The sequence below is a fragment of the Homo sapiens genome, chromosome 10 (assembly GCF_000001405.40).
Source record: "Homo sapiens chromosome 10, GRCh38.p14 Primary Assembly".
Lineage (NCBI taxonomy): Eukaryota > Metazoa > Chordata > Mammalia > Primates > Hominidae > Homo > Homo sapiens.
The window spans coordinates 114,857,156-114,873,609 of record NC_000010.11 but is presented as its reverse complement, the minus strand read 5'-3'; the positions used below and the strand labels follow the sequence as shown (position 1 = coordinate 114,873,609).

The 16,454-nt window shown below is 38.0% G+C and overlaps 1 protein-coding gene across 2 annotated transcripts in view; it reads right to left on the bottom strand.

Moving 5' to 3' along the window:
- The window catches only part of FHIP2A (FHF complex subunit HOOK interacting protein 2A), a 78,053-nt gene that overhangs the window by 26,223 nt on the left and 35,376 nt on the right, over positions 1 to 16,454 (bottom strand). The window contains exons 15-17 of one of the 2 annotated variants that reach the window (NM_020940.4): positions 12,721 to 12,861; positions 12,276 to 12,379; positions 8,893 to 12,175 (exon numbers count right to left, since the gene is read on the bottom strand). In NM_020940.4, coding sequence (NP_065991.3) covers positions 12,070 to 12,175; positions 12,276 to 12,379; positions 12,721 to 12,861 — 351 coding nt within the window. In that variant the 3' untranslated portion in view covers positions 8,893 to 12,069. Of the gene's footprint in view, positions 1 to 8,892; positions 12,176 to 12,275; positions 12,380 to 12,720; positions 12,862 to 16,454 lie in introns of those variants that run through there. The other variant, NM_001135051.2, reaches the window with a different exon arrangement.

The following is a 16,454-nucleotide window of genomic DNA, read 5'->3' as shown; positions in this document are numbered from 1 at the left end:
TAAAGGGTTTGGGACACAAATCTTCCTTGCAGAATAATTCCAAACAGTTTTTTGCAGATACTCTACCCTCAAGAAGATACAGTATTAACTCTACACTTCTGAAGTGTGAGCTATCTACGGTGACTTTGCTTCCCGAGAATACAGTATGGAAATGGGAGGGAAAGAATAACTTTACAGTGGAGAAACTTGACAAATACTATTTCAGCCAGGGGATCAAGCCCAACATCATGCTGACAGTGTGTACTCTTGATAAGATATGACTAAAATCACACTTTATCTCTGTATTCCTCCTCTGTAACATCCACAATCCCAGTCTAATCATGAGGAAAACATCAGACTAATTCCAATAGAGGGCATCCTACAAAATACCCAACCAATACTCCTCAAAACTGCCAAAATCAACAAAAATATATGGAAACTCTTAAGAACAGCTGCAGACACTGCAGAAAGCCTAATAGCAACCACTCCTCAGAGGTCTGAACACCAGCCCTGCAGGGCCCATCCCCTAACCTTCTAGGTTCTGATCATCTCAACTCCTTTCCTTTGAATCCTCCAGCTTTAGAGGTGGTGCTGCTTCCTGCTATTTTTAGCCCTGTATTACAGTAATGTTCCTCCTTTGCTATTCCACCCCCCAACACCCAATTCCCTGTATAAATTTCCTCTGTTGAAGTACCTTGTGTGGTTTCTGTTTTCCAAACTGAGCTGTGCCTGTTACAGTGCTTGGTACCAGGAAATAGACCCTCAGGGATGGGGATTTGGAGGTTGATTTGATCATTGCTTGGTTTTAAATGCTGGGCTGAGATCTTTTCAATGGGAATTGCTATGCTAGTACTCCATTGCATTTGGAGGCATAGTGATTAAGTTGTCACCAGTGATTGATTGAGATGAAATGCCTATGGAATCAAGTGCCTTGTGGGACCATATAGCTTTTACACCAAGAATGAAAAGGACAATAGGCATAAACTGTCACTGTCCCTTGATTATCCTAATGGCAGTAGTAATTATGACTACAAAGCATTGGAGTAGGATGACATCTTCCAACTGGAGAGATTACAGAAAGGAAATCACTAGCTCAGGTTTAAACTTCTAAATTCAAGTCTAAAACAGAGCAGTGAGAGGCTCTATGGCAGCCCTAAAATAATGTAATTTTTTTAGTCACAGGGCCAATCTCATACAAAAAAGAACCATAATTAAATTGTGTGGGTTATAAAATTACAATGTAAATTGAACTCATAGACTTCCCTGACTCTTATGAGAAAACGCATTGACTGGGTGAGTGGGCCTCTAGGATTTTGAATGATCACATCTGGGTAGATGGGAATAAAGCTGAAAATCTTGAACCCAAGGCCTCTCTGCCTTGTGAAGCTTTGAACCCAAGGCCTCTCTGACAGTGGAAGTTTTTGTCTTTTAGGTCTATAATTAGAGTCAGATCTCAGCATGGTCCAGGGGGAAAAAGTGAAGTCTGACCTGGGAAGAATTAGCTTTTATTCCAAATGAATGACAACATCTTGCTAATTGATTTAGGCAGAAATCTGAGGATTATTTGAGAAGTTTCAAAGGAAGATAAAATATAACATTAAATCAGGCCAACGTATGGACTTGGGCGGACTTATCAGAGTCTGGACTTACTGTGTTAGCTCATCCAACTGGAAGTGGCTCTAACAGTTTTCTTAGTTGAGTCAATAAAATATATTTATTGGTGGCCTACATTCAGTGAGCTGAGATGACAGAACTTCCCGGGGTAATGTAGAAAAAACAATCCATAGATTTAGGGAGATAGGAATGCAAAATTACATGGGGGCATGAACACCCAGCCATATCTCCTGATGGGGTGCAGGTGACAATCTCTTCTCTGAGGTACTAAGAAATATATTAATGAGGGGCGTACCAGCCTCCCTGGAAAGCTCTGTGGTGGATCCCCTCGCTAGATTGGGGTTAACAGTGGAAGATGCTGCCACTGAGATGGGTCTAGTCAGGAAAATAGCAATTATGTAATAGAGGTTTCTGCAGAGGGAATTTCATATGGGAGTTGGTTACATCAATGTTGGAAGGCTGAGTGAGGAAAATGGATTATTCACTGAGATCATCCAGAAATAATAACCCAGGAGGCAGCTACTACCACTGGGGCTGACAGAACAAAGGGAAGAGGCTGGGGTTGCAGAGCTAGAAGCTTAGGGCCAGGGCCCTAGAAATGTAGAACTCTGGTCTCTGAGAGGGGGCCTGCCATGCTACTGTTGCTGCATTGAGACCAGAGGAGGCTGGTTCTAGGAGGATTTAAAGAATACAGAGCCTAGCCAGGCTCAGTGGCATGATCCTGTAGTCCCAGCTACTGGAGAGACTGAGGCAGGAAGATTGCTTGAGCCCAGGAGTTCAAGGTTGCAGTGTGCTATGATCGTTCCACTGCACTCCAGCCTGGGCAACATAGCAACAGAGACGCAGTTTAAAATGTGTGTGTTTGTGTATATGTGTGTATATATATATAATATATATATATAACAGTATATATATTACATATTTAAAAACATATATTTGTACATACAATTAAAAATAAATTATATGTATGTATATGTATGTGTATATATATATATATGTGGAGGCTAAAATCAATTGCTATGGACCCATTGCTGAGGTGATACAGATAGGAACAATAACGTCAAAGGAAGGAAGTTGCTTCTTTCTCCTCCTGTTCCCCTTCTCTGGAGCCTCTTATTAACCAAATGTAATAGAAAGCCAGTTAGCAAAGGAGAAATGTAGTTTGTAGCGTCCTAGCCTAGCAACACAAAGCAGTACATAGAGGAGTGGATTTGGAACAGAAGGACAAGAGCTTAGTAAGCCCCACTGAACTTGCCTTATCCCTTGTACTTTAAAAAGCAAACCTTTCCAAGACAGGGACTTTATTGAAATCCCCTCTCCTCGTCAGAGCCCTACAAGATTTAGTGAATATCTGTTGAACATCACGGATGATGTTACTACTGTAGCCTTGCAACAATACAATACATTTTGGACCTCAGACCTCAACATTTATGAAACCAGCACTCAATTACAGTGTTTTATGTGTCTAGCTGGAAAGTTTTTTACACTCCAAGCAGGATCATTTAGGAAAGTCCTGTCAAGAGAGTAGAGCCTGCCTTTGTGTAAGTGGAGTAGCCTCTTACTGTCAGTGGTTTGATGAATAGAGGTACTGAGGGGAGCTTAACTGCTCCTGTAAAAGATATATATATATATATTTTATTTAAAATCATTGTTAAGAGGCAGGGATCAGCTTCCATGGTGATGTAAGGATTTCTGAAGAGTTTGTAGATAAAAGCAAGGTCTTTAAATATAACACAGGAATCAGCAGAAAAACTCAGCATTTGCGCCTATCCAACATCTTTCTTAACCTAATAAGGTTGACAGTCAGCATCTCTGTTAGAAGAAGTTAATGGTATTAGTTGAATGATTGATTACACAGATCACTGGAGGAAGGGCCAAAACACAATGGTCTTATATCAGAGTATAGCAATGGCAAGCTGTACAATGAGGACAAAGAAATTTTAATAATGGCCTTAAAATGGTGTTGATATTAAAATGCTCAGCCCAGAATTATCTATGTCAAATTAATTACACTTCCCTAGTCTTTTCCTTTCCATTGAAATGAAAATGATAATGAGCAACACTACTTCGCAAGATGTATATCAGCAATTTCTGACTAATTTCTTTGAAATACTCAGCTCAATGAATATAAATTATATTATATGCTATGCATGAAAAGACTCCAACCATTAAGAACTGTGCAAAATTATTTTTATTTCAATGTCAAATTCCAAAGAAAAACACCCAGAAATTGCTATGCACGTTTGCATTTATAGCTTTTATTATTTTTAGGATGTGGTTTTGAACCCAAATTCCAATGAGTCATATGTACTGTTGCCAACAGTATTTTCAGAGAAAGGCTTACTTGAAGCTGCATGACATTGGATCATTTTATGGAAAATGTAAGTCTTTATGAAATGGAACCTGTTTGTTGTCAAGGAGTCCAAGCTACATTACTAATGAGGTAATATTTTATTTTAAAAGTAGGTGTTTTCTTCTCAATTCCATTTCTGTGGGAGCCCAACACCAACGCAGCTTAAGAAAATGATGGTCTATTTTCTAATCATTTCTAAAACAAAATGGAAATAAAGATCACAGGACAAAGAATTGAAGCAGCCCACAAAGAATATAGAACCATAAATGCTCTGTGACTTGCTACATTGTTGATAAGAGCAACAGGATAAAGAGATTTAAGTAGAAGAGCATACTTTAAACATGGAAAAATAATGTTTAAGGAATGGCTAATTTGTTTCTCCCCTAGAAATCTCCAGTACATGGCTCTCTTGGGAAATCTAATCAATTAAAACCCTACATGCTATTCTACTTGTGAGTGGAATAAGGAATACATTTCTCATGTTATTATATAAATGAGTCTCATCTTCAGGGATTTGAAATATAGCTTTATCCAGAGTATAGTGAATTTGTATGTCATCTCATCTTTCTGCATTATAGTAAAATTGATTTTATGATTCCTTACTCATAAATCACAGGCCTGAGGCAATAACAGCCTTGGAGATGCTTTTGCTTGTCTTGCCTAATCTCACAGGCTGGGTGTGTCTCTTGTTCTTTTTTCTGAACCACATCTAGCTCTTCAGCTTGCAATTATGATTATAGTTCTCAGCCTTGAAAAAGAGTGGCTGTCAGACCCAGGTCATGTTCCTGGCTTGTTTGGATCCTCTAAACTGAATACCATCCCGGACAACTTTAGCACATCATTGGAAGAAATTAATAGTGTGATCACGATGCAAATGAATGCACATCACAACATGGGTACCATTATGAACTTACAGCTACAAAATTCAAAGGATATCTTCCCTTTCCCCTTACTCTCCCCTCTGATATAAGAGCAAAGTGACCCATGGTGGTATTTAGATTTCTGGCAGTCTGCTAGGGGTTTTACCTTCATGTAAGGTTGTGGTTCTTCAATCAAGAGAAGTCTAAAGTATTACCTAATATTTAAAATATATATATATTCCCCCCACTTTTTTTTAAAGACTCCCTGTCAGTTCCTCAATATATTGACTAGTCCAACTAGAGCAGTGGTCCCCAACCTCTTTGGCACCAGGGACTGGTTTCATGAAAAACAATTTTTGCACAGACTTGGGGATGATTTCGGGATGCAACTGTTCCACCTGAGATCCACCAGGCATTAGTTAGATTTTTATAAGGAGCGTACAACCTAGATCCCCGCATGCAAGTTCACAGTAGGGTTGGTGCTCCTACGAGAATTGAATGTTGCTGCTGATCTGACAGGAGGCAGAGCTCAGGTGGTCGCCTGCCACTCACCTCCTGCTATGCAGCCCAGTTCCCAACCGGCCACGGACTGGTACTGGTCTGTGGCCCGGGGGTTGGGGGACCCCTGAACTAGAGAGAAGAGGAAGGTCATCATATAAAATCATAAGCCTGGGCAATATAGTGAGACTGTATCTCTACAAAAATAAAAATAGCTGGCCATGGTGGCACCTGCCTGTAATCCCAACTACTCAGGAGGCTGAGGCAGGATTGCTTGAGTTGAGGCTGCAGTGAGCTGATAGTGCCACCGCACTCCAGCCTGGGTGACAGAGCAAGACCCTGTCTCAAAAAAAAAAAAAAAAAATTATAAAGCACACTGAATTTTAACTCCTTAGACTCATACTTGGGAAATCAGGTAATTCCTTGAAGCCACCTCAAGAAGACTAGGTATGAAGGCAGCAGAAGTCTCTTGATCTTGCTCCCTGGCAGGAGTGAGCTCTGGCCTGTCCACCTGCCTTCTAGCCTGACTCCAGGCTTAGATTTCAGGAATGGGGGGGAGTTGTGGGATGATAACCCAGTGGAGGTCTACACATCCTATCTCTCCATGCACATCTGGCACGTGGCTTCTGAATTCATCTCCACCATCTCCATCAGCCTAGGTTGGTTCTCTCTTAATTGGATATGCAAGCTGCTTTGTGCCCCAAACCAGGAGACAATAAAGAACGCTGTCAAAAGAGTACTGAGTTAAAAGTAAGGAGAAAGGCATGGTTCTACAAATGCTTTAGCTGAACCAAATCTTACCCCTAATCTTTGGGTCATTTTAAAAGTCCAATTTAATCTTTTGGTTTTAGTATTTCAGTTGACTATGTGCCTTCTCACTATACAATAGTCTTAGAAAGAGATCATAAATCACAAGCTAATTGCTATTCATCAGCTGAGAAAATATGGGCCCAAAGCACTGTTCTTTGGGCTAGTGCTTTATACCAACATCAGAATGAAGTGAAAGGCCACAGTTAAGCATGGCAAATACAATAGGATGCAGAAGTTTCTTGCTAGGTTGACTCTGTTGTGATTATAACTTCTTTTTTTTTTTTTTTGAGATGGAGTCTCACTCTGTTGCCCAGACTGGAGTGCAGTGGCGTGATCTCTGCTCACTGAAACCTCCGCCTCCCCAGTTCAAGCGATTCTCCTGCCTCAGCCTCCAGAGCATCTGGGATTACAGGCACGTGCCACCATGCCTGGCTAAGTTTTGTAGTTTTAGTAGAGATGGAGTTTCACCATATTGGCCAGACTGGTCTCAAACTCCTGACCTCAAGTAATCTGCCTGCCTCAGCCTCCCAAAGTGCTAGGATTACAGGCGTGAGCTACCGCGCCCGGCGTCTGTTCTGGTTATAACTTCTGAGACTATCTGGCATATCTCAAAAGTAAGACTATAACCCAAAAGTAAGAATAATACATATATAACATACTTAAAAGTAAGAATATTCAGGCAAGGCTTGAGTTTCAGATCTTCCTGTTTAGATGATTTGCCATCTTACTTCCTTTCCCTGGGGCTCACACCATTTGGGTCTCGTTTCTCTAACAGTGTTCACCAGTGTGCACTATAATTTATTTTTGTAAACACCACACCAAGACTGACTTCTTTAGGGCCGAAATCATTTTTTTGTGTTCCTAGCACCTTAATACCTGGTTCATAGAAAGTTCTTGAGAAATATGTGTTAAATAAACAAAATTCTTGTTTGGTTTGTGGATGTCCTATTTCTGATACATTTTTAGAAATGATATAACAGAGAAATTTCTAATGCCCACAATAGTCCAATCAATGAGTAGTGAGTGTGAATGAAACAGGCTTAGATGGATCTCTCTGAGGTGGGTAGTGGGGTATATTACCAAATAAAGTTAAAAACTGATTTTCTGTAATCAACCCAAATGCCCATCAATGATAGACTGGATAAAGAAAATGTAGTGTATATACACCGTGGAATACTATGCAGTCATAAAAAGGAAGGAGATCATGTCCTTTGCAGGGACATGGATAGAGCTGGAGGCCATTATTCTTAGCAAACTAACGCAGGAACAGAAAACCAAACACTGTATGTTCTCACTTATAAGTAGGAGCTGAACAATGACATAGGGCGGGAAACAACACACACTGGGGCCTGTGCTGGGGGCGGGGTGGGGAGGGAGAGCATCAGGAAAAATAGCTAATGCATGTGGGGCTTAATACCTGGGTGATGGGTTGATAGGTGCAGCAAACCACCATGGCACACGTTTACCTATATAACAAATCTGCACATCCTGCATGTGTATCCCGGAACATAAAATAAATTAAAAAAAACAAACAAACAGAAAAACTGACTTTCTGCAAGGTAGTCCCTAGGTGACAACTTTATTGCCATAAGAACAACTATAAAACACTCCATTTCTTCTGCATCATTCAGCATTAAACAAACTCACATGCAGTGTTTCTGCTTGCTTATATCTATTTTTTTTTTTTTGAAAAGAGGTATAGATTTTACTTGAGAGTTACTCTAGCAAAACTTCAACTTTTACAGTTTTATGTTAATTCTTTAAATTCCCTTGGGATTACTAGTTTTCCAGCTAAAACACTGCTAAATTCTTAACAGTTTGAAGCAGGTTTTGGACTGGGGATCCAATTATGCATTCCCAAAACACAGTTTTCTTTTGAAGTAGCTTCTTTTGAAGGGCAAGGAGGGTGATTTCAACTCTTCAATGTCTAAACCTTGCCTCTTCCATCCTTTCAACCTATCATCTTTATTTCCGTCTAAAGTGATTTTGAAAAGAATCTTCGGGTAGTTGGGATTAATCACTGGATTTTTCTCTTTCTGGCTGTGCTGTGTATTACATGTTTGTTTCCAATTCAGAACCTCTGGCAAATACTCAAGTGAACAGGGTAAGTCTAGAGTCTAATTGTTTTAAGTGTCAGCTAAAAAGAAAAGTTTTTATATATGTTAGAAAAATACTAAGAAATAATGCTTAGAATAAATTGTTTTTCTGGGCCAGGCGCGGTGGCTCACACCTGTAATCCCAGCACTTTGGGAGGCCGAGGCAGGTGGATCACCTGAGGTCAGAGGTTCAAGACCAGCCTGATCAACATGGTAAAACCCCGTCTCTACTAAAAATATAAAAATTAGCTAGACATGGTGGCAGGCACCTGTAATCCCAGCTACTCAGGAGGCTGGGGCAGGAGAATCACTTGAACCCAGGGGGCGGAGGTTGCAGTGAGCTGAGATCATGCCATTGCATTCCAGCCTGGGGAACAGAGCGAGACTCTGCCTCAAAAAAAAAAAAATTGTTTTTGAGACGTGCATAAACATTCCTTCCTTTTGGGCAGTGATTATTAAGAAGGGAAGTGGAGGTTTTCCTGGGGGAATTTTTCAAGCTACACATCTCTCCTCCACAAATAGATACATTGCTTTTTGTTCTCTCCCTAGAATACTATAGAGACCCACTGATTGTAGGGTGCCATATCCCTTTGTGTGCTGGGGGTGCAAAAAGTTAAAAATTGTTTGAGATTTATCATTGGATAAAATGTTCCCAATTAGAATTTTACAAAAACATAAGACGTTTTGTTTAAATTACATTATTTATTTTTTAGATCATCCCTCTTAGTCCTGCATGCATTGTTAGCACAAAAAGTTGAACTTGATCACAACTTCCTTTGAAGAGAGAGTAGGTACACAATGACCATCTGAAGAGTTTCTCCACGGAGGGACCAAGAATTCCAGACGCTGGTAACACTGTCAGTAACCTACACAACTTTCAATACAAAAAAATTTACCAAATATCCTGTTTAATGTAAACAAGGCAGGAGGCAAAACAGAGTATTACAGTAACACTATTTTACAGGGCCCAGAAAATGTGATTATCTACCATGTTTTAACACATAAAGTGTCACAATGACATGCATATTTGATTTACTACATAACCCAAAATATAATTACCATATAGTGTGGTTTTAGCACTTCACTGTAACGTCTTCTGTCAATACTGATGGACTTCATAATTAAATGGCAATTGTATGTTAATGCAATAATTTATGAAAACATTACCATGAATTTATGAAGTAATTCCATAATTTGTGCCCTGTAAAATTAAGTGTAACAATGTTTACACTAGCAACAGTGTAAGCGAGCTAAGAATTTTGGTCCTTATATATATACATATATACATATATACACACACAATAATGTACAATTAAACCAAAAAGCTATGAATCCACTCACAGCTTCCATATTGCACAAACAGATACATTACGAGAAAGTTACATAGTTATAAGGTGAGTACTATATGGCAATAGGCTAAGACAAATCTGAGTTCTATCAAGTAAAGAATGCGGCTCATAACTAAAAACAAATCCAAAGACTATATTGTTAGAAAGTTTTAAAAAATGTGCATATTTATTGATACAAATGTGAAGCAAGGCTGAAATTCACTTTGGAACTTGCTATGGCAATCAATTGTTATGACGGTGCTTTCCACTCAGCATAGTGCATTTTAGTTACTGTTTTTGCAAGTACTGAGTAACAGAAATATTCAGCTGTCAACAGAAGGTAAGAAAAACTGGTGATGCAGTACAATGTTTCACTAACAAATTGAACTCACTGTGAGAGCTTCTACTGGCTCTAGGTCTGAACTAAATATAAAAGAAAAAAGAAGGGATGAAAAACAGAAACTTAGAAACAAATGAAATCTTAAGCCTTAGCTGATTACAAATTAAAGTCATTACAACAACTTAGAAAAATTATATTTTCAGAAGCAGCATACATATACACAAATATAAGAGTTAAAGCTTTTCTGAGCTTGGTTTCATGGACTAGTTATAAGGTCCCATAGTGGAATCAAGGATAAAAGAGTATTTGGTTTCAGAGGTAATATCATTGCTACTACACCTATTGAGCACTATGAAAACATTAAGAAATATCTAATATCTCTTAATGCCTTAGTTTAAATACTCATATATCAAAGTAGACTGTTACTACATCTAGAAATGTAAATGTCGAAGTTTTCCTTGTATGAAGTGATTAAAAAAATACAGCAAACTGAATGCCTTCACATCATTCAAAATGATTTAAAGAAAATTACGCACAAAATAACTATCTCCCACTTCTGTTTTTTCTTTGTTTTACTTAATAAATTTCTTAGAATAAGCTAACAAAGATTTGCATGAAATTAGAGGTTTAGTCTTTTTGTTGTTTTAACAGTGGTAAGCATTCTAGAGCTGAGGCTATTCATAATCTTTTGATATTCTGTTCTTAATAAATAGCAAGAACAAACTATGAAATAAACCAGAAAAGCTAACACAACAAAATGAGCAGATAGGTGTAAAACAAGCCTCTATGCACATGCCACACAATGCGTATATGCAAACATGCTACATAAAATAACTTCCTAGAGGGGGTAGTGACAGTTCCCTTCAAGCCGGAACCTTTGATAGCCTGTTCCCCCAAATATCAGTAAATGGAAAGATGAAGAAGAAAGTGCTGCGGCTTAACATGTCAAATAAAAACAAACAATAGCTTAAAAGCATTATTTGAGTGATCAGCATCACTTAAAGGAAAAATAGAAAGTGGACTGGCAAACACGATTTTGTCAATCAAGTACAAGCATGCTGTGCCCAGCGCAGCTTTGCTGAACTACAGGTTCCTACATGTACACCCATTCACATACATACCCAATTTCCCCAAATCCTTTAACATGTAAATAGGACATTTAAAACTCTGTTTTCTTTAATCTCTTTAGAATCATTTAAAACAAAAGACTGAACAAAATAGAAAAAAATGTAAACATCGAGGAGCCACTGGCACTTTGATTGCTGCCAAGGGTTATCAGTCAGTTCCCCACCTAGACACCACCATGCGTTTCAGTAAGAAAATCAAATTATAAAGCAATTTTATAAAGCAATTTTCTGAGAGGGAGAGGGGGGAAAAAGGTTCTCAACCCAGTACATGTTACTTAGCTTAAAAAAATACAATTTTAGCAAACACTACCAATGGTGAGCAAATTGAACACTGCTGCGAAAACGACACAGTTTAAATAAACTGGGACCCACACATGAAGAAAATCACTAACATGGCTATGTGCACAAAAGAGTAAAAGAACATTTCTTTAAAAATATAGATATATTATATTAATCAAGAATTTATCATATTAAATTGTTATTCTTAAAAAAGCTGAAGAAAGTTAATGGTGCTCTACACATTTTTATCGCCTATAATTAATTCATTCAATGGTTTCTGAATTGTATTTTTTTCTCATTTACAGTTTTCATATTTTGTTTGATAAGAATTCTGACCTTAAAAAGTTATAAAATTAGTGATTTTTTTTTGCTACTTATTAATCCAAAAGAATACAAGCATTTGAGTCCCAGAGAATGTCAAAATGCCTTGCTACCTAAAAGGACATTAATATAACAGAAATATCATCAAAGTCATGACATTGGAAATATTGCAGCTTTTCACAGTCATTAGAAATGCTTATTTCCTGAAGTTCCTTTGATTGTATCCTGGATTCAACAATGTGCAATTGTATATATAGAACCATTATGATAAAGCCAATGAAAACAACATTATACAACATTTCACCAAGAATGTCCACTCAATAGGTTCTTAATGGTTCTGTCCAGTTTACAGCAATACTGCGTTTAAAAAGGCTTTTTATCCTCTTGTGGCTGGGTGGAACTGAGTCTTTTTTGGTGAAATGTACACAGTAGTTCTGTTCCCCCAGTTACATGAAAGATGTTATTTATGGTGTGGAGGAAGCATGATATTTTACAAATGCGATTGCCGCCAGCTCCTTACAGAACTCTTCTAACACAATCACACCCTCTAGCAGTGTGATGTGGTCAATACTGGTAAGGAAAAAACAGACAATAAATCAATTCAAGATAGCAGCCGATCATTAAGTTCACTGAAATTTTTGGATTAAAAAAATGTAAAACACTAACTTACATAGGGCCTTCAGGTTCCAAACCAAGTAACCGCTTTCTGACTAACAGAAGCTTGGGAGTAAAGTCTTGAATACGCTGGATTCGAAGCATAAGGTCTCCAACAACCTGCATCACAGAGGCAAGGCACTTCAGTTCCTGAAATCAGCTACACAGACAACCTCAGGATCTAAAAAGAAAAATCTTCCTTCCCTACTATTTAATAAAGAACGTAAACTTTCACTACTCATATAATCATCTTTAACCAAGGACTCATACCTAATTCTTTAAAATAAAAGTTACATATTATTTAAAATAATTGAAAAAATAGTAGTTCAGAATGTATAATAATTACTTTTAAGCAGTAGATATATTTTTCATTATGTGACACTAACTGCATACAATGATATTAACATATTAATTGCACAGATTTATCAATCCTAGGGAATATAACAGAACTAGTAACTCACCCTGACAATTACAGAGAAGAGAGATCTACAGCCAGGAGCGAGGTTCACGTAAGGATCCAAAAGGTACTCGTGGATGTGTGGATGAGGGAAGAGAGAAAGTCTAGATAACACTGAGGTTACTTGTAAGTTTACATCATATGGCTATGGAGAGATAAAAAACAGAAAGACATTTAAAAATAATGTATACCGGTGTGCTTAATTTACTATTTCAATTTGTTCTTTTAAGAAAGGAGAATCTGGCCAGGCCCAGTGGCTCACACCTGTAATCCCAGTACTTTGGGAGGCTGAGGCGGGCGGATCACCTGAGGTTGGGAGTTCGAGACCAGCCTGACCAACATGGAGAAACCCCGTCTCTACTCAAAATACAAAATTAGCCCGGTGTGGTGGCACATGCCTGTAATCCCAGCTACTTGGGAGGCTGAGGCAAGAGAACTGCTTGAACCCAGGAGGTGGAGGTTGCAGTGGGCCGAGATCACGCCACTGCACTCCAGCCTGGGCAACAAGAGCGAAACTCTGTCTCAAACAAAAAAAAAGAAAGCAGAATCCACCATCTTCCTCCCTGCTGCGCATGCTCTTCTGCAATGAAAATATCTACAACTAAACTAGCTCTCATCATCTCAAATTACATATATTGCAGGCCTAAAACTTTAAAGATTTAAAAAATATATAAACATATAAAGACAAATATGTGACAGAGTCAGAATGTTTATTTTATGCAGGTTGATTCAATTAATGAAATTGTTCAAGGGGTCATAAAAAAGCACCAGTGTGTCATATATAATATTAATTACAGAGGACCCATTGAGCATAAGACCAAAAAACAAGATGGGAAGATATTACACCTTTTTAAATATAGTAATTTTAGAAGTGATATTCCTCACCTCAGATTATTCAACTACTGCCAATTCCCAAAAACACATACAGTAAAATAAAGTCGAATCACAGAACCTTGTCACCAGAATGAAATGAAAGTACTTGGGGATAGAACTGATGACGACCCTATGCCTCAAAGTGGATGAGAAGGTTCAAAATGGTGATTACAGAGAGGGATCATCTCATTTCTTGCATGAGTATTAACTTTCTCCAAACAACTGTATATCTGTGTACAGTTCCTCACACTTGTTTTACATGTAATATCGTGATTTTACTTGAATTCTAATTGTCTGTTTATTCTTCACAGAAAGGGGCTTTACAGAGTCATGTCAACAAAGCAAAAGGCACACTACACAAGGAGTTGCTACTACTTGCTCAGAACTTTCAATAGAAACTTCTCACCCCTTCCAGTTTGCTTCTTCTAAGCAGCCAAAGGAAACGGATTGGTTGCAACAAAACTAACTACAGTGAGGAGGCTGCAGAGAACCCAGGTGGCAAGAGTGAGACAGACACTGCAGCACAGTGGAGGGAAGAGGGAGTCAGGACCAAGTGCAACATCAGCCAGCACAGCGGAATGTTTCACTCTCAGCCACTGAACAACCTGCAAAGCCTTGATCACAGTGAATAGCAATGAGGAAGTCAATCTCTGGCATTCAGTGGAGAATGCTCGGGCACACGCCAGTTCTGCTACAGACTTCGGCATTTTACTATCTTTTGAAAATCACCACAGCTACAGACGCTACGATGAACATGTTTTGTTACATAAACAGAAACTCTCAAGTCCTATGCTGTAAGGCCCATTTTAGTCTTTCTAACTTACTACTAGATTCATGAACATGGATTTTTTTAAAGAATTAAAAACTGCTCCAAGTCATTTATTATTTTTTTTCAAAACCTAGCTGTAAGCAAGGTAATTGAAAGGAAATATGTATTCCCAGTAAAGGATAGTTTAAGAGTAAATTCTCCTACTTGGTAATACTTGGGGGCTTTGGGTATTTTTTATTGATATAGCATAATTGTACCTATTTTGGGGGGGGTCCATGTGATATTTTGATACATTTCACAATGTGTAATGTGTAATGACCAAATTAGGGTAACTGGGACATCCATCACCTCCAGCATTTATCTTTTCTTCGTGTTGGGAACATCACAGTTCTCTTCTAGCTCCTTTGAAATATACAATACGTTTTTGTTAACTAATTTCCCTACTGTACTACTGAATACTAGAACTTATTTCTTCTAACTGTACTTTTGGACTCATTAACCAACTTCTCTCCATTCCTCCTCCCTTGATAATATTTGCAACAGAATAGCCTTCTCTGAGACTCAACTCATAATAAACAATGAATTCACATTAAATTGTATTTTAGGTATGAAGGAATCATTTACAAAAAATAATTTAAAAGAATGCATTTAGTAAAAAAAAAAAAAAAGTAGAAAAAATTTAAAATACAACTTAAGTCCAGAATTGTACATGACTCTTCACTGCAGGTAGTTAAGATTTTTAGGTCACTAAATTTCGCCATCTGCAGGTGCTTAAATAAATAAATCAGTACAATTTGGCTTTAAACAAATACATTACTATTTAGACTTTGTATTTTCTCTGTGTGGTGTTACCTTGGTTTGTAGTTTATTTTAACATAAATGTAGGTCATAGGTTGCTTAAGAAATTTAAGGCTGACACAGATTATTTCTCAACGTAGTAAAAATGAAAATAAATTTCAACAAGATAAACTTGTTTCACTGTACTCTGAAATGGTCTCTACTTCCTATTGGTAATAACTTTAAAACAAGCTAGCCTTTTTGGAAGTTGTTGGTAGTTAAGTGTTTATATCTATTACTTGAGGTCCCTTTATTTTATACTTTATACAGTATTTACCTGAAAGGAAAGCAAGCCAGATTTCTCTGACATGACAAATGGACTTGGCCCATGTTTTTGGACTGAACTCAAATTTTGAGATAATAAACTTTGACTTAAAAAAGTAATATCAACTTCACTTTAACAATTAGAAAATGTGACAAGTAGCTAAGTTACTTGATCAAATTCAAACTCATCATGCTCAGGGCAGGGACAAGATTTGGCCTCCTTACAATGTTCCCAGTGTTCTTTACATTCTGCTATGGGCTTTAGTATTTTACTATCTTTTTAAAATCACCACCGTTACAAACAATAGTAAATGTTTGTATTATGAATTTTTTCAAATTAGCATTGTGATAACACAATAGTGTTATGAATACTTGATACTGTAAGTTCTCAATTATGCATGAAGACATTAGCCACTTGCCAAACTATTCATATTAAATTTTTAATCTCAGTCAAGTTACCTAGACCCTATTAGGAATCTATACTAAGAAAATGCCCTGCAAAGAGAAAAACAAAAGAAAAAGAAAAAAGAAGAAAGAAGAAGGCCAGGCGTGGTGGTTCATGCCTGTAATCCCAGGACTTTGGGAGGCCGAGGCAGGTGGATCACCTGAGGTCAGGAGTTCAAGACCAGCCTGAGCAATATGGTGAAACCCCATCTCTATTAAAAATACAAAAATTTGCCAGGCGTGGTGGTGTGCACCTGTGATCCCAGCTACTCAGGACGCTGAGACGGGAGAATCGCTTGAGCCGGGAGGGAGAGGTTGCAATGAGCCAAGATCACACCACTGCATTCCAGCCTGGGTGACAGAGCGAGACTCGGTCTCAGAAAAAAAAAAAAGAAGAAGAAATAGGGAGAGAAAGAAAAAAAAGAAACTACAAGCAAGTATCACTTCCGGCAAAAATGTTTAGGAAAGAAAGTAAAACTAGGCCAAAAATGCTTAGCTTTCTAGGACTTGTGTTTTATCTCTGAGATCAGACTATACCACGTTCTTACCCA